This window comes from Homo sapiens, chromosome 12 (assembly GCF_000001405.40).
Source record: "Homo sapiens chromosome 12, GRCh38.p14 Primary Assembly".
In the NCBI taxonomy this organism is placed as follows: Eukaryota; Metazoa; Chordata; class Mammalia; order Primates; family Hominidae; genus Homo; species Homo sapiens.
Window position 1 is genome coordinate 115147459 of NC_000012.12, and position 27220 is coordinate 115174678.

Below are 27220 nucleotides of genomic sequence, written 5' to 3' on the forward strand. Positions count from 1 at the left end.
CAGGAGCCAACCAGAGATGTGAGTAGAGTTTACATACACAATCTGGAGGACTCCCTCTCTGGCTCTTTCCTTTCTGGACTGGTGCAATTGGTGCCTGCTCTCAGACTAGAATAGAAGCAATGAAAATAGGAAGCTCACTCAGTGCAGTTCTTTCCTTCCCAGTATCAACTCTTTTCTAGAATCTACCTGCTCTCAGTCACTCTCTAGTGCCTTCAGGTGATTATTTTATATTTTGTGCAAAATCTATCTATCTATCTATCTATCTATCTATCTATCTATCTATCTATATATCTATCTATCTATCTATCTATATATCTATCATCTATCACCTATTATCTACCTATTCATATATATATATTCTACCTATCTGTCATCTAGCTATGTATCATCTATCTAACTACTCTTCTATCTGTTGGTCTAATTAGCATTCTTGGCTGCAAACCACAAAGCCCAATTTAGCTGGTTTAATTCAAATATATATTTGTTAAAAGATATGGAGTGACTCACAGAATCCCTAGGAGGCCTGTAGAGTCAAGCTTATAGTGTACGGAATCAAGAATAATATCTAAAGCACACACTATGATGACTGCCCCAGTAAAAACTGCCATTCCTTTCTTGGCACCAACATCGCAGCTCATGTGAACATTGCAGTTCTCACCAGTGACACTGGGAACCAGATATAAAGATTGCTCACCATAAAATCTGGACACCTTTATCTCCACCATACCAGATGATAGATAACTATGCAAGCCTATTTTTATGCTGGGAGTGTCTGAATGGTGGAGCCTAGGCTAAATACATAACTGGAAGAGAGGCTGGAAAAATGAATCTAACTTGCCTTTTGGCAAGATAGAGCTCATGTGTGGGAAATTCTCTAAATAGAGGAAAATTTTCCAAATGATGCTAAGTGGCCAATACCATGGGAAAGAATCTACTACATTAAATATCCATCTGTCTATATATCATCTTACTATTATCCATCTATCCATCCACATATTTTTTTTTCATCTCTTGGGGACAGAAACTATGCCTTATTCATCAACTTATCTCCAGAATTTAATCCAGATCCACATTATACATAGTCAGCACACAACTGAAATTCAGGAAGCACTTGACTCTTCCACCAGCAATTCCTTTCCTTCTAAATCCTACCCTGTGTCTTTTCATTTTTATTTTCCAAAATTGGCATATAACAATTGTACATATTTATGGGATACAATGTGATGTCATGACACGTGTATACATTGTGTAATGATCAAATCAGGGTACTGAGCATATCCATCCTATCACTTATTATTCCTTTTGTACAGGTTAACCAACTTCTCCCTATCCCCTTTCCCTCTACTTTCCCCAGTCTTAGGTAACCCCTATTCTATGTACTACTTCTATGAGGTCAACTTTTTTAGATTCCACATATGAGTGAGATCATGTATATTAGCCTTTCTGTGTCTGGTTTATTTCACTTAACAAGATGTCATCCAGGTTCACCCATGTTGTCACGAATGACAGGATTTTATTCTTTTATTCTTTTTTATGGCCGAATAGTATTCCATTGTGTATGTATACCATATTTCCTTTATCCATTCATCCATTGTTGGACATTTAGGTTGATTCCATATCTTGGGTATTGTGTATAGTGCTGCAATAAACATGGTGTCCTAGATCTTAAAACTTCCAAACTGCTGTCTCTTCTAAGAAGCTTCTCCAACTCTGAATTTTCCTACCTCCCATTAGAATTAATCTCTCCCTTTTCTCTACTTCCAATAATTAATGTACATCACCATTCTAGTATCAATTGTGTGCCTTTTAAATTATCTATATGCAAGTATTTTTTTAACTAGATTCTGATTTTATGTCTTAACAACGATAAAAACTCACATTTGCACAGGGATTTATAGCTACAAAGAATTTTCACAAAATCTACATTTTATTTAATTCTGCCAGTGACACCATGGGGTAGGTTTAATTGTCATCTCTTTTGTATGAATCACAGAATGGTTGCCTGGAGAGCTAATGTCAACTGTTAACGGTCACAAGGATACATAGAGTGCTGAACTAAGCATTAGGCTGTAACTTTCAGCCTTTAGGACCTGAGCTTTTTTGTGTAATTGTTTGGAAAGGCTAAGCTTTGTTGCTGTATCAGGCTAATCTAAAAATCTCTGAGACTTAAGAGAATAAAATTTTATTTCTTGTTCATTTAATTAACCAACTTGCCCTAGTTTTCCTGGTTTTAGCATTGAAAATCCTGAGACCCAGGGACTCCCTCCATTCTGAACATGCAAACCAGGATGGTTAGTCACTCTGCTCATTCAGTGATAATGTAAACTTGGCATCCATTCACCATTTCATAGCTATGACTTCTGGAACACAGGGCCTCTGAGATCATGCCAGGAGAAGAGAGAATGAGAGAGCCACAGGCAATCTTTTTAGGGGCTAGGTATGAAAACGGCTTACATCACTTCCGCTCACCTTCCATTGGCTCCTACCTAACTGCAAGGGAAGCTGGTAAACATAGACTTCCTGTGTGTACCGGAAGAGGAAATGACATGAACAGACAGCTTTGTAATCGGCTTCACCACTCTGATCTCTCTCATCTTGGTATCTCCTTGTCTTAGTGTGTTCGGGCTTCTCACACAAAAATCCCTTAAGCTGAGTGGCTTATAGGCAATGGACATTGATCTCTCACGGTTCTGGAGGTGAGAATGTACAAGATCAACATGACAGCAAACTCAGTGTTTGGTGAGGGCCCACTTCTTGACTCATATATGGCATCTTCTCACCCCGTCCTCAAACAGCAGAAGGGGCAAGGGAGCTCCCTGAGGTCTCCTTATAAAAGCACTAATCCCATTCATGAGTGCTCTGCTTTCATGACCTAATCACCCACAAAGGCCCCTCCTCCTCATACCATCACCTTGAGGGTTAGGATTTCAACGTATGAATTCTGGAGGTGGACACAAACCTTCAGTCTATAGCATTCCTGTGGGTTCCAATATGGCCTTTTGTAATCTGGGGGGCAAGAACTGTTCTTATTAAATACAACTTACGTTGTGTTTTGCTTTAATAATCAGCAGTTCACATTCTTTTAAAAAAACCCAGAAAATACAGATAAAGAATGAGAATAAAAATAAAAATTATCCCAAATCCGACCATTACTAATATATGTTAATATTTTTGTGTATTATTTTTGTGGTTTTTCTACATATGTAGCAAGCATTCATTTTTTCCACAGAAGTATCACAGTGTATTTACTATTTTATGTCCGGTTTTCCTACCACCTGTAAGATTTTAAGAATAACTTTCCATGGTTATGTATACACTCTTTAATGGTGGAACAGTATTCTATTTTATAGATGTACTTCAATTTGTTAAAGCAATCTCAGTTTGAGGGGCACTCTAGTGTAATGGCTATGAGCACAAGGTTTCATTTGGGTTCAAATGCCAGTTTCAACACCATTCTTAGACCTGGGTAAAAGGAATCCCTGCTTTGGATGGACCCATGCTCCAGTGTTTACTGATTTCCCTTGAGATATCAGTATGCCACTCTGGCCCTCCTCCTGCCCCATCTCTTCCCATGAGGTGAGAAGTCTGTAGGGTGAGGACACGAATTCTTTGTTTTTTTTTTCTGGAATCCTACTCTGTCGCCAGGCTGGAGTGCAGTGGCACAATCTCGGCTCACTGCCACCTCCGCCTCCCGGGTTCAAGTGATTTTCCTGTCTCAGCCTCCCAAGTAGCTGGGATTACAAGCGTGTGCCACCACACCCAGCTAATTTTTGGATTTTTAGTGGAGACAGGGTTTCACCATGTTGGCCAGGATGGTCTTCATCTCCTACCCTCGTGATCCACCCACCTCGGGCCTCCCAAAGTGTTGGGATTACAGGCAGGAGCCACCGTGCCCAGCCAGACATGCACCTTTTTTTAAGAACCCATGCCCTCTTCTAAATCACATTCCAGATACCTGGGACACAATAATTTCCTGCTTTTGCAGCCCTAAATCTGCATCTAGGGTTGGTCCTGGCTTTTCTCTGGGCTCCCTGAGGATGATGAGATTTCCGGTGTATGTACCCTCAGACCTAAGGGGAGGTGAGGAGGCCACTGTTTAGGTGGAGGGGTCTCAATGGAGCTTCAATGTGCTTGTTGGCATGTCCACACACATCTGCATGTGTCTTCTGACAGCGTGGGATGAAACTGGGGGTGGGAAAAGAAAGGGGCCAGTTGTTGGCCATGGGCTGGTTCTCTCCACACCCCCACATCCGGGTAGAGTGAGTCAAGGAGTCTGAGGACTCAACATTCAGTCCTGGCCTCTCAAGTCATTACAAAAGCATATTTATTCAGATGAGACAATGGAAAAAATATTATTTGACAGTTAATTAGCTTGATTTATGACTTTTTAAATTTTTTTTAGATTTTTTTTCGAGACAGAGTCTTGCTTTGTCACCCAGGCTGGAGTGCAGTGGCGCAATCTTGGCTCACTGCAAGCTCCGCCTCCCAGGTTCACACCATTCTCCTGCCTCAGCCTCCCGAGCAGCTGGGACTACAGGTGCCTGCCACCATGCCCAGCTAATTTTTTGTGTTTTTAGTAGAGACAGGGTTTCACCGTGTTGGCCAGGATGGTCTCAATCTCCTGACCTCGTGATCCACCCGCCTCGGCCTCCCAAAGTGCTGGGATTACAGGCGTCAGCCACCGCGCCCGGCCTGATTTATGACTTTTCAAATGGTCTGAAGACTTTTCATTTGTTCCCTTGTCTTGGCCCTGGCAAAAGTTATGCATGAGCCTGCATGGCTCCATGTGCAGGCTGTGTGTAACTTTGAGCAAGTTGCTTAACCTTTCTGCGCTTCAGTTTTGTTAGCTCTAAATTGGTCAAAATAACAGCATCAAACTCATAGGATTATTTTCGGTATGAAATAAGCTAATTTAAGTAAAGTGCTTAAAATAGTGCTTGGTACATGGGAAACACTAAATATTTGACATGATAATTATTTTGGCTGTTATTATTGCCATTATTATTATTATTATTATTTTATTTTTTTAAATATTAGATTGTTCCCAGTCTTTGCAAACCTGAACAATAATTCAGTGAACACCATTTTAAATGAATATCTGTACGCATTCATAATCATTTCTTTAGAAAAAAACATTTGTTAGGAAATTTTAGGGTCAAGGAGGGTGCACATTTTAAAGTCTTTCGATATGTTAATGAGCTGCTTCTAGAATTAAATTGGTTGAACGTATTATTCATTAGCTTTAATTCCCTGACCGTTGAGGGTTTGGGCACTAAATTATCCAGGTTGTTAGTGACATTTCAAACTTAAACTCTTAGTGGGAGAATGAAAGAAAAGCTGGATTAACCCGAACAAAAACTAATTAATAGCGGTCCGCTTAGTCCAGGAAATCAAAAAGCATATAATGAAGTCAAATGCAAATCTCAGAAGTTCTTCAGTTAACTGTTGACTGTGTTCAGTGTAGAAGAGATTCTTTAGATCTTTTCCTTTCCTTGGGAAAGGCTGTGGCTGCAAGATTTTATCCCACCTCCCCCTCCCAGTCCTAGCTTGCCTCATTCACCTTCCAGCACAAGGGTTTTCATCCAGCGCCTGGAGGAGTTCTGCCTTCACTTCACTCATCTTTCCCTTGAGAAATCAATACGCTCCTGTGACTTACTGTCAGCCTTTGGCAGCTGGAGATTCAGAGAGGTGGCTGCATACAGCAGGTGGAGTTTTGGGGCAGGTGTTATTTCCTTTTGGAAATGAGCTCTGGAAAGGTGACAGAAACCAATGGAGTTGGATATGGGGTTTAGTTACTCCAGAAACCCCAGGAGGACAATATATCTCATGTATTTTCATCTGACTTTTGGGATGTCTAATTTCCACCTGTACCAAGTCTGGGGAAGAGGGACGACATGAATAATGCATTGCTGTTGGCCCAGGCTCACTCTGTGGCCTTCTCCATTCTGCCCTGTGCCCACAAAACTGACCCGCATGGGTTACTTCAATGGGCTCCACTTCTCGCTGGCTCCCATTTGGGTTTGGCCAAAGGGAGGCACCCACTGGAGAGTGGAGAGAGGGAGGAAAGAGGCTGGGGTTCGTTCTTCCCTCCAGGTGGTGGGTTTGCAGTGGCTCCTTTTCTCTAAGGAAGGCAGGTCACATCTTCTGTCTTCACTCTCCTACAGCTTCAGCTTTCACCAGGTTCTGATGACCTTGCAGGCATAAGGGTGGTAGGTAGTGTGTTTCTGATTTTCCAGAAGGTTCCTCATCATTGCTAGCTCCTCTTAACTTTGTCCACGGCATTGTGAATAAACTCTCTCCTTTGGGGTGTGCTGATTATTGCCAGGGCTCTGTTTAAGACAAAAGCTCCATGGATTTGGCTAACTTCCAGAAGGGGTCATGCCTACGGCTGTCACAGCACAATCAAGGGGCAGTAGAATGTGGCAGTTAAGAGTCTGGGCCTTGGAATCCAAGTGGCTGAAGTCCTGGTTCTGTTACTTCAAAGTTTTGTGACCTTGTACATGTGATTTTGTCTCCCTAACCCTCAGTTTTCTCATCTCTAAAATGCAGTTAATAATAGTACCTATCTCCTTAGGTTGCTTTTTTTTTTTTTGAAACAGGGTCTTGCTCTGCCACCCAGGCTGGAGTGCAGTGGCACGATCACGGCTGTCTGGGTTGCTTTGATGAAGCAATGAAATGGTACCTTTGAGTACCTGGCATATAGGAAGAACCATTGGGGAAAGGTTTACCATTATTATTATATTACTATCTGTTTCATTTACGTATTGTTGCATAACCAACCACCTTAGAGCTCAGGGCCTGCGAGCCTGCCTGTGGGCCTGTTCTTTGGGCAGTATTTAGTGAGGCTGACTTGTCTCTGCTTCATATATTGTCTGGAATCTCCATGGAGGGGTCTGCCTTGGTGAGGAGTGGCTAGGCCAGCTGGGTGCCAGGTGGTCGTGTCCTCTCAATTGTTCCCTGGGTGGTCTCTCTAGCATGGCAGTTCCAGGGTGGTCAGACTTCATACATAGTGGTGTCCTGCCTCAAAGTGAGTGTTCCAAAGTCTGAGAAGAAACTCGAGGCTTCTTTTGATTAAGTGTCAGAAGTCAACATCCCTTTTACCACATTTTATCAGTCAAACAAATCAATAGGGCCAGCATAGTCTCCAGTATAGAGGTATGAGAACTCACTTCTCTCCATAAAGGTAGAAGAATCTGTAGCCATTTACATTATTCATTGAAGGGAGCAGTGTGGGTTGTTGTGTGCTACAAATTAAAAGGAAAATTTGGGGATTTTAAGCCTACTTTTAAACTTTATTTTTTTCTTTCCTACTTTTATTTTAGGCTCAAGGGTTATATGTGCAGGTTTGTTATATGGGTAAACTGTGTGTTACAGGGGTTTGGTGTACAGATAATCTTGTCACCCAGGTAATGAGCAGAGTATCTGATAGGAAGTTTTTCAATCCTCACCCTCCATTCTCAAGTAAGCCCTGATGCCTATTGTTTCCTTCTTTGTGTCCATGTGTATTTGATATTTAACTTCGTCTTATAAGAGAGAACAGGAAGTATTTGCCTTTCTGTGCCTACATTAATTCGCTTAGGATTATGGCCTCCAGCTCCATCTATGTTGCTGCAAAAGACATGATTTCATTCTTTATTATGGCTGCATAGTATTCCATGGTGTACATGTACCACATTTGCTTTATCCAGTGAACCATTGATGGTAAGCTTACTTTTGAACCCAATTCAAATTACTTTTATCAACAACAACAACAACAAAAAGATAATGGTGACTTATTGTCTCATGTAACTGAATAATACTCCTCTGAAGTGTTATTTGATCTAAGACTCATGGATTGACTAGGCTGCCTTTCTCTTCAACTCTCAGGCACACTCCATCCACATGACAGGCATGGTGGCCAGTGGAGAACCACAGTTCACATTCTCCAGCTGAAAGCCACCATCTTTCCTATAGAAAAGTCCTGGGAAAGTCTGAACAATTTGCTTTCAGTTAAGTGTCCACTAGTGTGATGGAGGTGTGAAGGGATTGTTGATCCCAGTCAAGTCACATGAAGTGGGTTGCCAGCAGAGAAGGTGGGCTCTGAGACCATCACAGGAAGGGAAATAAGGAAACTGTGATAAAGACAAAACCAGTGTGGCCACAGTCTACCATAAACATCTCACACTCTGCTATTCTACACTGAATTCTGATGCTAACCACCAGCTGGTGTTAGCACCAAGTCCACAAGTGAAGGACACACTCCCCAGTAAGACTATACTCACTTCCGATGCTAGCCACAAGCTTGAGGGTGTCCAGGCCACTCACACTTCTGACCAACTGGCTGAAAATTCAAGAGTGCATGACTCTTGAAAGGGGCTGGATAATTTGCTAGAATGACTCAGAGAATACAGGAAATAACTATACCTAGAGTTATAGTTTTATTACAAAGGATACAAAATCAGGACTAGCCAAAAGGAGAGACACATAAGGCTGAGGTCTGGGAAGGTCCCGAACACAAAGCTTCCGTGCCTCTCCCCACGGAATCGGAGTACATCACCCTCTTGACACATCAGTGTTTTTGGTCATCAGGAAGCTCCATTAGTTTTGGTGTCTAGATTTTTTATTGGGGTTACATTGCATAGCAATGATGGATTGAATCATGGACCACATGGTCAAACCTGGTCTTCATCAGCCACCCCTCCCAGTGGTTAGGCTGTCTCGAAGCCTCAAATGTCTAACTGTGTGATTAGTGTTTCTGGTTGACCAGCCCCCATCCTGAGTCACCTCATCTCTTACCATAAACTCAGGTATGGTCTGAGAGGCTCATGAGTAACAAAGACTCCTATTGCTCAGGAAATTCCAAAGATTTAGGGTTTCCCATTTAGAAACCAGAGACAAAGCCCAGCCAAATTCCTTCCTTTTTTTTTTTTTTTTTTTTTTTGAGATGTAGAGACAAGGTCTTGCTCTGTCATCCAGGCTGGAGTGCGATGGTACAATCATAGCTCATTGCAGCCTTGGACTCCTAGGCTCAAGCAATCCTCCTGCCCCAGCCTTCTGAGTACAGGCATGCACCACAATGCCTGGGAAATTTTTTTTTTTTTTTTTGTAGAGACAGAATCTCATTATGTTGCTCAGGCTGGTCTTTAACTTCTGGCCTGAAGCAATCCTCCTAACTTGGCCTCCCAAAGCACTGGGATTACAGGCACAAGCCACCACAGAGCCAGCCTCTCACACTCTTTACTATGCCACACAGGCATTGCTTCATGTGAAATATAAAATTCCCTTAATAAAGCATCATCACACCCACTTAGAAATGAAGACATTGTGGGTATTCTGAGATAATACAAGAATTGAGCCCTTGTTTTCTTGAACCCATGTTTTTATTTAATTTTCTTTTCTTACTATACCCCAATACTTACCTCTAATGAGAAAGCTACTTTGTTGCAAATAACTGCCTCAGTCACCTCCATCTCTAACTGGCAAGTCCCAATTATTCTACACTAAAGGAATTATCAATTTTAGTGAGGGAATTCCACTCCTTTTGTCTTGTGGAAGATTCTAGGAGTTAAAAGTTCTGAGTTGCAGTCCCAGGTCTGCACATTAGGTCAGTTGGATGCATCCCCTTACCTCTGGACTCAGTTTCTTCATCTGAAAAACAGCTAGCCTAGACTGACTGCCACAGAGGATCTTGTGAGCTCTGAAAGTTTCAGAACTCACTGCCGCTCAGCTTTGCAATGTGGAAATATCACTTGCCATTGGGATGGCCTGGGAAAATTAAGAATACTTTCCAACAGAGGAAATCTACACCCAGAAATTCCCTCTTTTATTTGTCCATTCACAAATATATTTTCAATACCTGTATGTGCCAGGCACCACATGAGATGCTGGAGATGTAGCAAAAGAAAGGCATATTTAGAGCCTATCTTTATGAATTTAAAGAATAATGAAATCAGACATTAATCCAATCATTCAAACATGATAGAGGAAGTAGGGTGTATGGGGCATAAGATAGGGAGAACTAGGCTGGGCGCGGAGGCTTACGCCTATAATCCCAGCACTTTGGGAGGCCGAGGAGGCAGATCACGAGGTCAGGAGATCGGGACCATCCTGGCTAACATGGTGAAACCCCGTCTCTACTAAAAATACAAAAAAGTAGCCGGGCATGTTGGCACGTGCCTGTGGTCCCAGCTACTTGGGAGGCTGAGGCAGGAGAATCGCTTGAACCCAGGAGACGGAGGTTGCAGTGAGCCGAGATCATGCCACTGCACTCCAGCCTGGGATATGTAGCAAGACTCCATCTAAAAAAAAAAAAAAAAAAAAAAAAAAAAAAAAAGATAGGGAGAACTAACTTAATCCAAAATCAGGGAGGGCTTCCTGGAATAAGTGGCATTCAAGCTAAACGATATTGAAAAAGAAGGGTAGAGCAAGTGTCCAAGGGTGTTGCCGGCAGAGAAAAGAATCCCCATGAACACCACAGCTTGAAACATCCAAACTATCCTATAATAGAGGGAATAAATGTCCAGCCTAATTTAAGCCTTGAAGTTTTTGATTGAATGAGCAACTGGATGGCTGTATATCATTCCTTCTATTAAAATGTAAGCATTTTAGGGACAAGGCCGATGGATGCTTCTAAATCCTGGTACCTAATGTTGGGTACACTCCAGTTTCTCAATAAATTCTCTTTAACAAATAGTTATTGGTAGCTACGGACGCTGGTAGCAGGGGCTTACAAACTAAAACTCACACTTATTAAGTGCTTCCTATGTGCCAAGCACTGTTCTAACTGTTACTAGGATAAATTAGTTAATTCTGATAATCAACGTTTGTAAAAACATCCTCATTTTGCAGATGAGAAAACAAGGGCACAGAGAAGCTAAATAACTTTTCCATCCCAAAGTTTGTACAGGTATTAAGTGGTAAAGCCAGGTTTCAAATGCCAGCAATCTGCTCTCAGCTACTGTATCATGCCTGTGTTGGAAAAGGAAGAAACGCAGGATCTTACCCTTCAACTCAAACCACTTAAAACGGGATAAAAGTAATATTTGTGAAAAGAATGTCACATCATCTGACTTTTTGATTCTAAAGTTCAGTTAGACCAGATATATTAAGTCAGATATTAAATTTTTTTAAATGTTTCTGTGCAACAGATATTGTGGAAAGGAAATAGTGTGCATAATCTCATTTGATTTTCAAATAAACTCTAGATACAGGGGCTATGACTATAATTCCCATTGGAACTGAGATTCAGAGAGGCTAAGTAACTTGCCTCAACTTGCCCAGCCAGAAGGAACAAGGTGTACCCAGTTGATGTGAATGCAGGCCCTGTCCACTCCACTATTCAACTCTAAAGCCAGTTTATCCACAACCCGAGACAGAACACCAAGGTACTGTGGCTCAGCGTTTCATATATTTTAAGGCTTTATGTCCACTGGAGATCTGTGGCCGAGTCCAGACATAGCCTGGAGCCAAGAAGGTGTCTGCCTCAGTTGATAAGTTCCTTCCAGCCCTCGTATAGACAGCCAAATGCCTCACACCCTCCCCTGGCTCCTGGAGGAATGACTTTCACACTAAAGGGAGGTGGAGACGGTTCTTATCTTGACACTTCAAAGAAAGCCTTCCCCCTTGACATCTTCCTGCCCTAAATGGTGCTGATGTGGAAACCTGGTGATGAAGGGTTTGCCTCTTTCCTTTGATCCTTGGGCAAGCTGGGCCATTCCTGCTCTTCCAGGCCTCAGGAATGCTGGCCCCACTCGCTCAGCTTCTTGCTTCCTATAATATTTACAGCTTTAGATGGCTCCTTCACTTTTTCAGTTTTATCCAAAGTCAATTGCCAGGGGGGTAAGAACCAAAAAGAAAAGAACTCTGCATCTGGCGGCAGAGTATAAACAGTTTAATCAGCTGGATGGTTCTGAGGTTGTCAGATGCTTTTACTACTCATGATCTAACTCTGGGCCTAAACTTTCGTCCCTAATTTTGGTGTCATGGACCCCCATCATAATCTGTTGATAGCTATAGACACTCTCTCTGTTTTTAAATTGTGCACAAACAGTGAAATCTGTGAATGCAATTTCAAAGAGCTCACAAGCCCTCTGAAGCCAATCCCTGGATTTCTCAGAGGGTTTGTGGATTCAGATTAATAATGCTTCCAAGCACAACTACTGCCACTCAGAACAGGACAATAGTTACACATGCTGTTCTGGAGTTAGACAGACCTGAGTTGGAATCCTTGCTATCACTGTTTCTTCGTACCTTAGTCAAATTACTCAACCTTTATGGCCCTCAATTTCTCCTCTGTACAATGAAGATGGCTCTAGCCCACGTCTCATACAGTTGCCGTGAGAATTACATGAGTTAATGGATGTAATATGTTTAGCATATGTATTAGTGGTAGTAATAGCTCTGTTGGTGAGTACCATTTTTGCACATGATTTCCTGCTTCTTCAGATGCTGTCCCAGTAAAGAGACCTTCAGGAGAAGAGCTACTTTATGAACACAGGCCCCAGTTTTTTCATCTGACAAACGGGTTTGTCGTAACACCTGTCCTGCCAATGCACAGACTTAATCAGAAAGCACAACCAAGCTAAAAGAAAGGAGAGTGCTCTGTTAATTACAGATGCCATAAATGTGTGGCTCTGAGATCATTATCATTCTGTTTGATGGGAAGTTTTGTGGGTCTTGAGTTGGGGGTCTTCCAGATACTTGATATTTCAGGGAGATGGGACCAAGAGGGCTAGCTTCTTGGTGAATTACTAACCCTAAATTTCTTTCATGATGCTAATTAATATTTTACAAATTCATCAACTCAAACTCATAAAAAGTTATTCTCTGTTGATCTCCTGGAGGGAGGAGATAAGATGGATATAAAGGAATTCATTCAAAGTGCAAAAGAAAGGGGAGAGAGATATTGAGTCAATATGTTTATCTGAGCCCGTGAACCCAACTCAGCCCAGCTAAGCATTTTGACAGAAGGTTACAAAGCAAAAATGCTGGTGAAGAAAGAAGAGTGATCCATAAAGGAGGAAATTCTGATCCCTGGAATTAACCCAGCATCTCTCCATTCCTCCTTTTGCATGACAGGCACTCTTGTAGAGCCTGGAGAAATCAGTCTGAACGAGGCTCTGGCTTGGCTCTAAGGAGCGCTGAGATGAATAAGAATAATAGCAGCAATCATAGCAGACATCATGCTGTGCTCTTTCTAGTCGCCAATCACTTGCCAATATGTGCAGAACACCTACTATGTATCAGGTAATGAAATCAAGCTCCTTCTCTTTCCTTGGCTTCCTGGAAGCTGATGGAGTCCTTTTATCTTTGCCATGAATGCAGGAGACAAGTTAAAGATGATACCAGACAAAGAGTCATAGAAAAGCCAGCCAGGTGAGGAGGAGAGAGGGAGCTGTCAGCTGACAAAATTTAGAGAGCCCTTGTTCATCCAGTTCAGCAAAGACACAGTTTCACCATCCACATCATTAGCAGACAGCTGCATGGGGTTGCAGGTTAATTTATGGCCCGGAGATTGCTGCCTGTGGCATAATTCACCCAAGGAAGTAAGGCCTAGGTCAATATATGTTTAAGTAAAAAGGTTCTGGAAAGCCCCAAGGGGTCAAGCTGAGAAAGCAGCCTCCTATAGCCAAGACAGGAGATGCTAGGAGAAGCAAGAGTGGAACAGACAGTAGGAAGGGAAGGAAGGCGGTGAGAACCATCTAGACTCAGTAAATACAACTATTTTAGTCCAACTGCAGCCCTGTAGCAGGGTAAGAACAGGAGAGGCCAATGGAAGGAACTCATAGTTCATCTGCCTGTTTTCTTTCATTTAATCTATTTAACGCACTTAATGGAGTCAATGTTGTTTGAACATGTATGGATTTAGCATACTTAATATGTTTATTTATTGTATCAAGGGAACAAATGACAAGATCACATATATATATATATATATATATATATCTTCATCCACCCATCTCTTTCTCTATCTCTCTGTCATATCTGTTATATCTATCTATCCATACATCCATACCTCTCTCTGTTTTTCTCTTTCTATCATATTCATGTCATCATTATCTATTTACCTATCCATCTCTCTCTCTATCCATCCTCTCTCTCTTTCCATCATATCCATGTCATCATTATCTATCTATCCACTGTCTATCTATCTATCTGTCTAGAAAAAGATAAATAGTGCAGTGATAGAAATAAATAGCTGGTACAATAAAATTTTGATCTGTGCAATTTTGTCAGATTCTTTCATAGTTTTTAGAAAACTCTTAGAAAGGTATAATATTGATCTATTTACACACACACATTAGTTGTTGCTAATTAAATCACTTAAGCACTGCACTAAGTTTTATGTGTAGCATCTCATCTGATTGCTAACAGCAATCCTGCAAAGCATATAGAGTTAGTCCCATTCGAAGATGAGAAAACCGAGGCTCAGAGAAGAGGTTTTTCTGCCACTTAAATTCTCTGCCTCATCCTTGCCCCATCTGCATCATGGGTATTAAACTGTCTGACTTTAGGCATCCTGGAGCTTCTCTCAGATTTCCAGCTTCATATTCTCTAAAATGAGAGTTTGCAGGGCAGTAGAGATAGATGGACTTGGATAAGGAGTAAGTGATTTTCCTACGAATTTACATCACTTTGTTCAAGATGCTCCACAATGCAAGAAACCATTTGACTTTGGGGCACTCCTAGAAAATTCTCTGTAAGTGGTTAAGCTGGGTATAACAGAAGCTAAAGGTTACCGTGTGTCTACCATGTTCTTGAACCAGAAACCAGTAATTTTAACCACCAGCCTACAGACCTATTTTTTAAAGGTTAATTAGAGAAGTTGGGAGGGCAATAAGAATGAAGTCTGCAGCTATTATTACTCCATGTGACAGAACAATACATTGTCACAGAAAGTTTTCATCATTCTTAATTTCCAAACCAGGACACCTTCCAGATCTAGCAACTTAGCTTCATCCTTCAGAATTTAAACATCTACAGATCTTCTCTTCATCCCTCTTATCAGCATGAATCTGGATGCCCTTATCATTTCTAGGTAGTTCTGGCAGCACATCTTTGAGGTTCCTTATATGGTTTCTCTTGCTAGAAGTTTCTGGAACTAGGGTTTGAACATCATCCTATAAACTAAAACAATTATTTACAATACAAATTTATTTCCTTTCCTTATTCCAATCCACTGGACAGCTAAAATTTGGGAAATCAAACCACAATGTGACTGAGCTTGGAGAAAGCATTGCTAGTCCCATTCCCATTACATGAAGAAAATCGTAGCCACAGATTAAATCCTGCCTGTCTTGACTCTTCAGATGGAACATGGAATATAAGGCAGGCATTTTTCCAGAATCAGAATTTAAGACCCAAGACTGACTCACTGCTACGGTTTCGAGATTTCATAAACAAAAATAAAAGATGCTGGGTAAGCTTAAATACAAATAAATGGTCATTAAATTGTAAGTGTCAGTGTATCTCATGTAATATTTGGGACTCCATTTATACTAAACACATTCGCTTTTTAATTATCCAAAACTCAAATTTATCTGGGTGTCCTGTATTTTACCTGGCCATCTTAGTTGGATCAAAAGCTTGAACATGGGTGTGGATTTAGAAAAAAATTATGGAAGAATGATCAAGTATAGACGATTGGGTAGACCCATCCCAAATATTTCAGGTTGGATAGTGTGAGCAGACTGTTCTTGTGGCTATGAAAATAGCTAACGCTGATAAAAGCAATTCCAGGCATGAAGCTCTATGATAAGCACCTCATATGGAAGTTCTCTGTGGACTCCTTGAGATGGGCACTATGAATATCCCATTGTGCAGAAGGAGAAACTGAGATCCAAATATCTTGCAATCAGTAAGTAGATTTTACTAAGGCTGGAGCATTTTAGGAAGCAATGAGCCCTTGACATTTCTTACAGAGGCACAGAGATGAGAGATGACTTGCCTGGGGTCCCACACTAGTCTTCTACAGAGCCAAGATTCTGACCCTAAGTCTGCCTTTATCACTCCTCTCTAATTCCTTCCAAATCCCTACCAATGTTCTACTAGCTTTGATCCAACTCAGGTTCGACTGAGCCAGCCTTAGAGAAATTGAATTTCCTTAATAGGTTTCCCTAGACAAATCACTTGAGAACCAGGAAAACTCAAAGAGAGAAATAGGTGGAAGCTAGGAGCCCTCGATTCTCCTTCTGGCTGTGATACAAATAGGTTGTATGAACTTGAAAAATCCCTTGCTCTCTCAGACCCTCAGTATGGGGTCTGGAAAAATAAGGGGGACATACTCAATAGCCCTCCAAGTCGCTTCTGTGGTTGCACTCTGCGATGCTAAGATGCTCTGTCTCCTGCAAACTCCGGCATTGGAGCCTTGCCCTCACACACCAAGCATCTTAGGTTGATACAATAGACAGCAGACAAATCCCATTACAGACCACTCTGTGAGTCTCCACTTTGTCACTGACTGTTATGTGACCTTAAATAGGCATTCTCCGCTAATCTCCCCGGGCCTGGCCTCTCCTATTAGCAGCTGGAGACAAGGATATTTACCTGTAATAAAGCTCTTTGAGCTCCTCAGATAAAGAGCTTTGCAGTAACAATGCTCAAAGTGGATTTTTTTTTTAACGGACCTGCACACCAGCTTTGTTTTGTGTTTTGCGTGTCTCTCCCCGCCCCAACACTCCAGAGAAGTGCAAATTTTGCTTGCCTTCCAGGTTTTCTCTGGGTTAATTCATTTGTTTGCTTCCGAGTTCGAATAGGTCTTTCTTCTAGACTAGAGGTTCCTAGACTTTCTCAGTTTAGGGTGATTTTAGTATCTTAGTATCTTTTTTCATAAAGTCCATAACAATTCTGTTTATGAAGTCATTCACTCCAAAACTATTTAATATGTAAGTCCTAGCAATTTAGCACTGTTTGAAGAAGAATACCATGCATTGAAAGAAAAAATATTATATCATACTTAAATAAGCTGATTTACAGAGTAATGAGATATGGGGACCTGTTGGATACCATGGTTTCTCAAACCTTGGAATCAGATTGGTCACCATCACTTTAATTTTCTGTTCCACATTGATTTTCATGAGACACTTTTTTCTTTTAAAACACAGTCACTTGCAAAAAATCCAGCTTCTCAAGCAAGACAAGGAATTATCTAATGGATATAGTGAAAGTAGATGGTGTAGGCCCATTCCATTCTATCTCTCCTGATAAATACAACTAGAATCTCTAAGAAAGAAACAGAAAGGCACTATCAGAAGACTCTGAAAGGTAGAGAAAAGAAAGTAGATTAGCTAGAAACCTCAGCCTTCTATATGTCTAAACTTGGACACTAGAATATCCTGCAGCCCAGAAACACCAATGGATGCAGACCAAATTAATGGTCCCCCCACCCCGCAAAACACCCTACTCTTCTAGTCAAGGGCCTAGACAAAGGGCAGAACCTTTTTGACTGTACCTGCTCTAATCTAGGTGAACTCCATTAAAGATGTCCCATCCTTCTCTCTTCCCACTAAGTGCTGTAGAGATGATGGGGAAGCAGCCTGGTGACCCTCTCTGCCCTACGCAAGAGTGCTTCCATATTTGTATAGGAAGCATTCCTTCCTCTTTCCACCAGGTGATGTGATGACCGGGGTGGAGCCCTGCTGACCTTCCTGCTCTGTGTTAAAGCTAGCAGAGATAATGCCCTTCCCATCCTTACAAAAAAAACAGAGTTTTTGTATAACCATCCCCAAATGATGAAAAAGATATGGTACACCATTCTCCCCCAAATAGAAGGTAAAGAAGGGAGAGGATTACAGAGAGCCTCAAAAGAAAGTCTATTGCTCATATTATAATTCTATATTTGGACTGGAGATGTAGGGGAAAGGAAAATATTGAAGACTTGTGGGTGAAGGAGAATGAAGCAAAATTGTCTTTTATAAAATGGACATAAAATAATTGTACATTTTTATGAGGTAGAGTGTGGATATTTTGATTCATGTATATAATGTGTAATGATCGAATCAGGGCAATTAGCATATCCATCACCTAAACATTTATCATTTCTTTGTGCTGGAAACATTCAAAATTTTCTCTTCTAGCTATTTGAAAATCTACAATAAATTATTGTATGACCCTATAGAGTCATAGAACACCAAGACTTATTCCTCCCAGCTATGTAATTTTGTATTGGTTAACCAACCTCTCTCTATCTCCCCTGCCACCTTATAACTGTCTTTGAGGATTTTTTTGCTTCCAATCATGATTAGTAGTAATAATAACAACCACTCTTTATGGACTACAGCCTGAGTGCTCAGCATTTTCAATATATAATCAATTCACCTCCTTTATTATTTTTGCTGGAGTGTATTCTCTACCTAGAATGGTGCCTGGCATATCATGGGCACCCAAGTATTTGCTGAATGGATGAATGAATGAATGAATGAATGGTCACATATTTCAGTTAATTAGGAAACAGCTAGTTCTTCATTAAGGAAGACACTTTATTTGCTAGAATATTAACTATGTTTCTATATTTTCTGCATGTCTGAAAGGCACTTTTACCATCACCTACATTTGTATGTAGGCACCACTGCAATCTGGGATGTATTCATTGTCATCAACACATTATATGGATGGAGAAACTGAAACTAAAGAGGATGAATGACTTACTTAAGGTTACACAACTTCTAAGGGAGAGAGTCTAGAACTTTTTTCTATCAAAATGAGCCCCTTGTAACAGAAAATATGGCATATTTTAAATGTTTACAACTCAAAAAATATTTACACAAAAATGCAACACAGACCAATCATGCTATATACAAAATAATTAATCCTTATGTATTACAAATGTTTAGAAAAGGCACACCTGTTTAAGGTTTATGGAGTCAGTACATCTATGTAAATCTATGGTGAACCTTATTTTAAGATAATGACAAAAGTTTAAATTTGAGGCTTTATTGAGGTAAAATTACATGCTATAAAATGCTTAGATCTTAAGTTTACAGTTCAATGACTTTTGATCAATGTTACACTCAAGTAACCAACGTCCCAATCAAGATTTAAATCATTGCCACTGCCCTACAAAGTTTCTCCATGTTTCTCCAGCCTGTCCATCCACCCCTGCCTCCCAAAGGCAACCACTATTCTGACTGTTATTCCCATAGACTATTTGCTGACCTTGAATTTCATAGAAATGACTTTTTGCACTCAACACATAGTATTGTATATACAGTACTTATTTCAATGGCTATCCTCTGTTTTAATGTTTATGGATTTCTCTATATTTATCACATTCTTATTTATGGCAAGTCAAAATTTACTTAATTAAAAATAATATTCAGTCAATTATAGTGTAGGTGGTGTGTAGATGAGGATGATAGATTGGTGCTTGAGAAACACTGAATTCTGGCATGGTATTTAAGAGCACAGAGCCCATGCTCACAGATCCCTGGATCTCGACCACTTACTAGCTAATTGACTGGGTAATACACCAAAGCTTTAGTTTTCTTATCTGTAAAATGAGATCTGACTAATCCTCATAGGATTGCTGTGAGAATAAGATAATCTAACACAATGAAAGCTTTAACTCAATGTGTGACACACGCCAGTGGCTCAATATATAGCAGTTCTCATTAGATTAGGATGGTACGTGGTTAAATTATTAGGATTTTTCTTTTTAGCCTTACCGCTAGTATGACAACTACAGACTACTACTTTCTGGACTACCTCCTCCTGCTTCCCTTTGGGATGAGCTCATAGTGCCCTCCACTGGAAAATTAGAGGGGCGTTACTGGAAATGACCACTCCAGTGGTCCTTAGAGATACAGAAATTCCTCAAATTATAGGCATTCTTTTTATGCCCAAGTTGTCAATTAAAGGGATATTTGTGTTTAATGTATTTTTTTCAGTGTTTTACTATATAAGTCAAATTTCCCGCTTTGGCTGGAAGCTGGAAATCTGGCGCTTCTCCCTTCCCTTTACACCCGAAATTTCTCTTCGAGCTCCTCTCTTGTGTATGTCCTTATTTCTACTGCTTTGAATCTGAGTCTCGCTGCTTGAAATCATGTAAAAGTCTCTCCATCTCTAATCTTAACTTGCTCACTCATCTTACCCAGCGCAATGGTTTGGACTTTCAAAATGCAACACTCATTGGGCCCCTCCTTGTTTGAGACTTATTTTAGGGCCACGGTATCCAAAGCCTTGGAGGGGCTGTCTCTTGGTTCCCCTCCCATCACTCTGCCCCTAGAACTTCAAACTCCATTCCGTAACTCCACAACATTGAACTACTTGGAGCTTCTTTCACTTTTTGCTTTGTTTCTCTGTCCCCTTAAATGTGCCATTCCCTTGACCTAGAAGCTTTTCTTTCTGATTGTTTGGCAAACTTCTTTCTATCTATCACAACCCTACTTAGCTATAACTTCTGTAAAGATATCCTCACTATCACTCTCTTTCATCCCTTACTACTTCTTACTACTTCTATTGGTTCAGTTATTGCAGAATTTGATGATTATGTGTTTTATGCTGGCAATTAGCACAGATCAGAAACTATTAAAATTGTACTTCATTTATTCCTCACAATATCCCTCTGGGTTAAATTGCTGTTATTATTCCCCCATTTTACAGATGAGAGGTATAGAAACACTAAGTCACTTCTCCAAGGCCGCATAACTTCATAGTGAGCTCCATGACTAGATAAATGTATTGAATGTTGGATGCCTACCTACTCTTACTGATAGGCTCAAGATGGTTGGAAGGTTTGGAAGACGTTAGATTTTTATCTTCTTCCTCTTCTGCTTCTTTCCTGGTTTGACTGGAGGAAGGAGAGCTTCAAGTCTGGACAGATCATGGCTGGTGTATAATTCAAATTTCAAATTCAATCTTCCTCAACTCTGTGGCCAAAGAATACAACTAGAATTCTTGGTGTCAGCTTTTCCATCTATACACAGGTAGGATTGCCAGATTTAGCGAATAAATAAAGAAGAAAAGGATACCCAACTACATTTAAATTTTAGACAAACAATGAATAATTTTTTAGTTGAAAAACGTCTTCAATATCTCATGGGGCATAATTATGCTAAAAGAGTATTTACTGTTTATCTGAAACACAAATGTCACTAGATGTACTCTGTCGTATCTGGCAATCCTACACTTGGGATAATACTACCTCTCTGGCCAGAGAATCCTGGTAGTCACTAAAGAGAGGAAGCTTACTGTATTATGCATCTGTGTTTTGCCAACTATCCAGCATTGTACTTTGCATTCATTAATGCTTGCAATCACCTTGGGTAGTGAGTGGGTATTAGCGGCATTCATTTTATAGATTTATTTTCTAAGTAAGATCTACCACTTATTGGATTCTTACTATGTACAGTGAGACAGACTAAAGATAGGTGTAAGTTCTTTGACATTCCTTCCATTGAGAAATGTGATCTAGATCCCCTCCCATTGAATCAAGAGAGAAAGGTGATCTGCGATTGCTTTGACCAATAGAGTATGGTGGAAATGATGCTTCCACTTCTTGTCTTTGGGGATGCTCACTTTGGTGCAAGCCAAACACCATATAAGGAGTCCAACTACCTGACACTGCCATGCTGTGAGGAAGCACAAGCCACATAGAGAGGCCCTCCAGGGACTCTGGGGGGATAAGATGCCAGGTGGAGAAAAAGAAGCTCATGTGAATGAAAAAGACATCTGAGAATTAAATCCCCCAACCCTAACTTAGTGAAGTTAGCGAATCCTCAGCTAAATCCATGTGTATAGTAGGTGAAATTCCCAGCTGTCTTTCTCACATTCTTAACCTACAAAATCACATGTAAGATAAAATGGTTGGTTTAAACCACTAAGTTCTGAGGTTGCTCATCATGCAGTAATAAGCAATTGGACCAAATTCAAGACCATTTAATGAGTCCTGGCCTCACCATTTATTAGCTCAGTGACCTTGCGTCTCAATATCTCACCTGTAAAATAAGGATAAAAACCCCAATTTTTAAAAAGGGAAAATTCAGGCAGAGAATGAGCTAGTAACTTGTTCAAGTCCACACGGGGAACAAGAAGCAGATCTGGAAAAAGCCCTCATCTGCTTGTTTCCAAAGCCTGGCTAATGTTTCTCCATTTATTCTTCATTCTCACTACCTTCAAAATCTAAGCCTCAGTTTTCCCATCTGTAGAACAGGGATGCTAAGAGTACCTTCCTTATGGGATTATTCTGTGTATAAAACACATACACACACACACACACACACACACACACACAGTGCTTAGCCTAGTGCCTGACATAGAGTAAGCACCCGATAAACATTCATGATTATTACTATTTTCTTATCTCCCCTGCCGAGGCTGACAGTGAACATCAATCCCGTGCTGCCTCCTTTCTCCAGGTCTCTAACTTGCGGGAAACCTCATCAGGAGGGCATCTTTAACTGAATGAACAACCTAGAGCACTACTTTTTAATATTTGATGAATTCCTGAGGCTCTTGGAGAGCAATATGAGAAATATCATGTAAAAATCTATTAATGTTAATAAGATACCACCAAACAGGTTGGCCATTATCAGCAATTAAAGTTTTCGAGCAGGTCAAATAACTTTTCAATGATTTGTGTAGCTTCCTTTTCTGCTCACCTTTTTTTTTTCATTTTAATGGAAATATGTACTATTTTTCTGTTTAAAGTCCTGGACCTTGGCCTGTCCTCCCTCCCAATTCTAACCAGTGGTTTCAAACACTAACTACGTGTTTATATTCTCTGCTCATCCATCACAGATGTGAGAACTCCAAGCTCCAAATGATAGCTGAGAAATTCAAAGTTGGCTGCCAAAAAGGATAGCCTTTCAAAAGGAGCTCTCCCAGGTTTTCTAGGCTTTTTATGGTCAGGGGAGGTGAGGGGAGAGTGAAGGAAGTTATCTCACCCCATCCTTTCCTGATGGGAGTAGAAAAGAGAATTCACATTGCTGTGGTGGTCAATACACGCCACGTCCCATGCTACGCAGCTTCCCATATGTCTCTTATAATATCTTTACAGTAAAACAGAAGAGCTTTGCGGTCAGATTGAAAAATAGAGGCTCACAGAAGTGAAGCCAGTTCCCAAAGGTCGCACAGCTAGCCAGAGGTCAGGATTGGAACCGAGGGTTTTAAGATTCCAAAGCCTCCAATGGTCATTCATTTTGCTTACTCTTCTAGGGAGCTGGTCCCAGAGCAGAAACAACTGGTGATGAGATTTGGACTTCAGACAAGCCTAGATTTGAACCTCACTTCTGCTACATATCAGCCATCTGGCCATCTGACTTCATCTCTCTGAGCCCGTTCCCTCATCTGAAAAACAAACATTGATGCCTAAGGGTGGTTATGAGAATTGAATAAAATAAAGTTTGTAAAGAACTTTGCAAATAGCCCCGTTGCACAGAGAGTGACTAAAACATAGTAGCTATGGCACCCTGCTGACCTGCACACTTTCTTCCAGGTCTCCTCTCTTTCTTGGAAAGGAAGCCTATGTTTCTCAACCCCTTTCTGATGTCTGTCACCTGGAAAATGACTGCTTACCTTCCATGGTCAAGCTAAGCCAAGTTATGTCTGGGATCTTGCAGAGCTAGGGGATGAGTCTCTTGGTTTTCCCAAGCCTCCAGCTGTAGTACTAGGCTCACACACGGTTGGCTATGGAATGTACTTTGGTACACTCAAGCACTGACTTCCCTAACATCCACCAAATCCATCCATCCTTAGAACAGCACAACTAGAGCAGATCTCCTGGCCCATCTACTGTGGAGTCATTGGTTTAAGCAGCAGCAGAAGACAGGCTATGAAATACACAGGAAACTTTAACCATTTTAGCCTGGTAGTGACATATGTCACTTCTGTTAATATTTCTCTGGTTACAACCTGTCACTCAGCTTTTCTTAAATTCAAAGAGGCTGGGAAGTGTAGTCTCTCCTATTTGCTTAGGACAAAAAAGATAGCTAGCACTGGTGATAGTAATGTCTGCCACAGTGCCCAATTAATATTTGTTAATAAAAGACTAATAATAGCAGATTTTTTAAGCTCTTCCTATGCCCCAGGTATTGTGCTAAATGGGTGATTTATTATTATCTCCTTTAATACTCACAGAAACCCTATGTGGTAGGCATGGTTATGATTCTCACTTTAGAGATGAGCAATTGGAGGCCCAGAGAAGTTAAGTCAATCACTCAAGTTCACGGTTCGAAGTAGAGGAGCTGGGCTTCAAGCCCAGTCCATTAGATCTCAGATAACACCCTCCCAATAGTGAGTAGCCCATATTTATTGTGAGTGCTACTAGGAGGGCACATCAGCTACCCACTATAAAATAAGGCAGAATGTTGCAAGCCAAAACGAGGCCACAGAAGCAATGGTTAAGCAGAATGGAGTCAGTTTTTCCAAGGGCGGCAGGCGATCACAGGATCATTTTGGGGGAAGACATGGTCTTTGAATTGTATCTTGAAGGATAAGAAAGAGGTTGTCAAGCAGATGAATGACAGAAGTACATCTAGCCTGAGAATGCCTGCTCCATGAGGACAGGGGCACTGCCTTGTTCACCACTGTATCCTCAGTGCCTAGAATACTATCTGTCATATAGTGTATGCTCATTAAACACTTGCCCAGTGAAAGAACAAATGAAATGAACCATGATATAGCATAAGTTCTTCAGTGATCCCAGCAACAATTGTCAGCAAGAAAAGGGGAGACTGAATTATCTAAGAATGGGGCAAGTGAAGTATTCTTGGAAAGATGAAATTTGCAAGAACGCCTGTCTCGGATTCTGGGTATGCAGGTAGAGGCATTCATATTCTGGGCTGGTATCTTTCAGAGAAACTCGTAAGCTGGAAGAAAGCAAAGCAAGTCAGACAGGCCCTGGTGGTATCCAATTCTGAAGGTGCAGGGTTTGAGGAGCCCCCAGCTGTTTCTGATCACAACCAAGTTGTGTGTCTGCCCCATCAGCATCCTCCTGTTTGGGAGACAGGAACAGATGAACAAAATGTGGAGGATGGACATGAGCAAATGCCACATTTGCAGAGCAATTGCTGGAGGGTCACTGAGACAGGAGACTGGAATTTTATCTCAGTTAAATCCCATTGAGTTTTCCCAGATTAGAAAGAAGGCTTCATTTTCTTTGGAGGATTTGTTTTTTTAAGTTTGCCTTCTCTGTACATGATCTCTGTAATAATAAACAGTAATAAAAGTGGGGTGGTGGTGGTGGTGACTATCTCTCCTCCTCTTTCTTAACAAGGGAACTTTACAACATCCTTTTAAAATATGATCTGGTAGTTAGGTCACTGGTCTTTGAGATTCTTCCCAAGAAAATTAGTTGTTTTCATGTTGGCGTCTCGGTGCACAACCCTCTCTTGGCAGGTCTTTCACGGATGATGTAAAAGACAAGAAATGTGTCCAAAACCCAGGCACACCATCTTTAGAGCTTGAATTTTTAGACTCACAAACCCTTTATATCTGCAGCCTTTGCGTATCTGGTCCTCACTGAATCATGCCTAAGAGCCCGCCAACTGAACACTCACCTTTTGTTTAAGCTATTCTCTTTGCCAGAGAGTCTCCATTTCTTCCTTGACATATGCTGCCTGTCCAAATTATTAGCAGCGTTTCATGTGTGACTTAGCTGCTATCTCTGCTGTAGTATAGAGCAGAGCACAAAATAGGTGCTCAACTAGGCTTTGGCTGAACTGAGGTTCAGGTGGCAGAACTGAAAACCTTGAAGACTAAGCTCTTTTCATTACTCCATGTTGCAAAGGACTAAAAGGGAGTAGAACAGAAGCTTGACGGGGGGTCCTCTGGTGATGTCAGCTAACACTGCTGAGTCCTAAATGCCAGGCACTGTCCCCAGTGCTTTGTATGGATCAGCTTATTTATTACAGCTTAGGGTGACATTCTGGGGTACGTGGGAAAATCCCAGCTTATCCTCCATGTCCCAGACCAATTCTTTACAGAGTTGCCATCCACTCTCAAAATTATCCTGGTTAACAAAACAAACTACACAGGCTCACTCAGTTTAATTGTCATGACGGCCCTGTGAGATAAGCGCTATGATGATCTTTGCTGTACAAGTCAGGAGACTGGGATTCAGAGAAGTGCAGTGGCTCGCCTAAAGTCACACAGTAGTAAGAGGTAGAGCTTGGATGTAGACAGATCAGATTCTTATTACTGAAGGTAGAATAAGAGGAAATACTCTTTACCACCCAGAGTTAAAGAAGAGAAGGTAATGTTAAAAAAAAAAACCTTGGAAACATTTGGGCCACGCAACATACTTTATAGGTTAGGGTAAGATTTGGTCCACCCATATATTCATATAATATGTACTTACTGAGTGTTAGTGTGTACCAGGCTTGCAGTTGCTGGTGCAGAATCATGAATTAGACACATGCACACACACACACACACACACACACACACACACACACACACACACACACGTATGCTTTCCGCCCACAGTGAGTATGAAGCCTGGTGGGGAAAACAGATGTGGAATTACACCAAACATTATAACCAGAGCTTTCTCCTATACTACACCCAGTTTACTCTAAAAGACAGGCCCAAACTGTCTGCTTTTTGACAAATCCAAGATATTGTGGAGCCTATGGAGTGATTTGGAAAACATAAAGAAAGAATTTTTGGCAACAGTAAAAATCACCCATATTTCTGATTTATCTTGGAAACAAAAATTGTGGGTGTGACAATATCTGGCCCCTCTTCGTCCATGGCAGAAATTAATTCAACGAAGTAGCAGTTCCCCTCTTTAAATGAGAAATACACTCGAGAGTTCAGCAGAGGCCCCATCTGGGCTACATTAATCATTCATGTCACCTTGTTGGCTTCTAAAGGCATTTGAGTTTACAATTCTTGCTTTACATATAGTTTCTTCCTTAAGTTTCCTTATGAGCTACTTTTAAATTTTTTTAAGGTTTTAAATATACCTATTTCCTGAGTTTTCTATTTATGTTCAACATGTTGAATTGTAGGAATTTCTTTTAGAAAAAAAAATAGCTTTCTGCATGCTACAACTGCCTTAGGTGATATCCAAGGTAGACGTCACTAATCAATCATGACCCTCCTGCCCATTGAAGTGGCCACAATGTCTTCTCCACAGCTGTGGGCAGCCATTACTAATCAATCAGAATTGGCATATATGATGAAACTCATCTGCTTCTCTAAATTTTTATCTATTTAAATGCCTTAAATACTGAGGAGTATATTTTATTCTTCTTTACTTACACCCTATTTCTCAAGGTGGGTATCCTGGTAAGACTTTCCA

General features: G+C 40.9%; 1 long non-coding RNA gene across 1 annotated transcript, besides 1 other annotated feature; it reads left to right on the forward strand.

The window, feature by feature from the left end:
• Nucleotides 1-2657: 2657 nt before the first annotated feature.
• On the forward strand, nucleotides 2658-23339 carry LOC124903081 (uncharacterized). Its single transcript, XR_007063589.1, has 2 exons — nucleotides 2658-2739; nucleotides 23131-23339. It is a non-coding gene; the product is annotated as an uncharacterized LOC124903081 (long non-coding RNA).
• Nucleotides 11404-11905: an enhancer, noted in NCBI's record as "NANOG hESC enhancer chr12:115596667-115597168 (GRCh37/hg19 assembly coordinates)". NCBI's record gives its function as "activates a minimal SCP1, AML or CMV promoter by ChIP-STARR-seq in primed H9 embryonic stem cells {active_cell/tissue: H9 hESC(primed)}" and the evidence as "EXISTENCE:reporter gene assay evidence [ECO:0000049][PMID:30033119]".
• Nucleotides 23340-27220: the final 3881 nt, after the last annotated feature.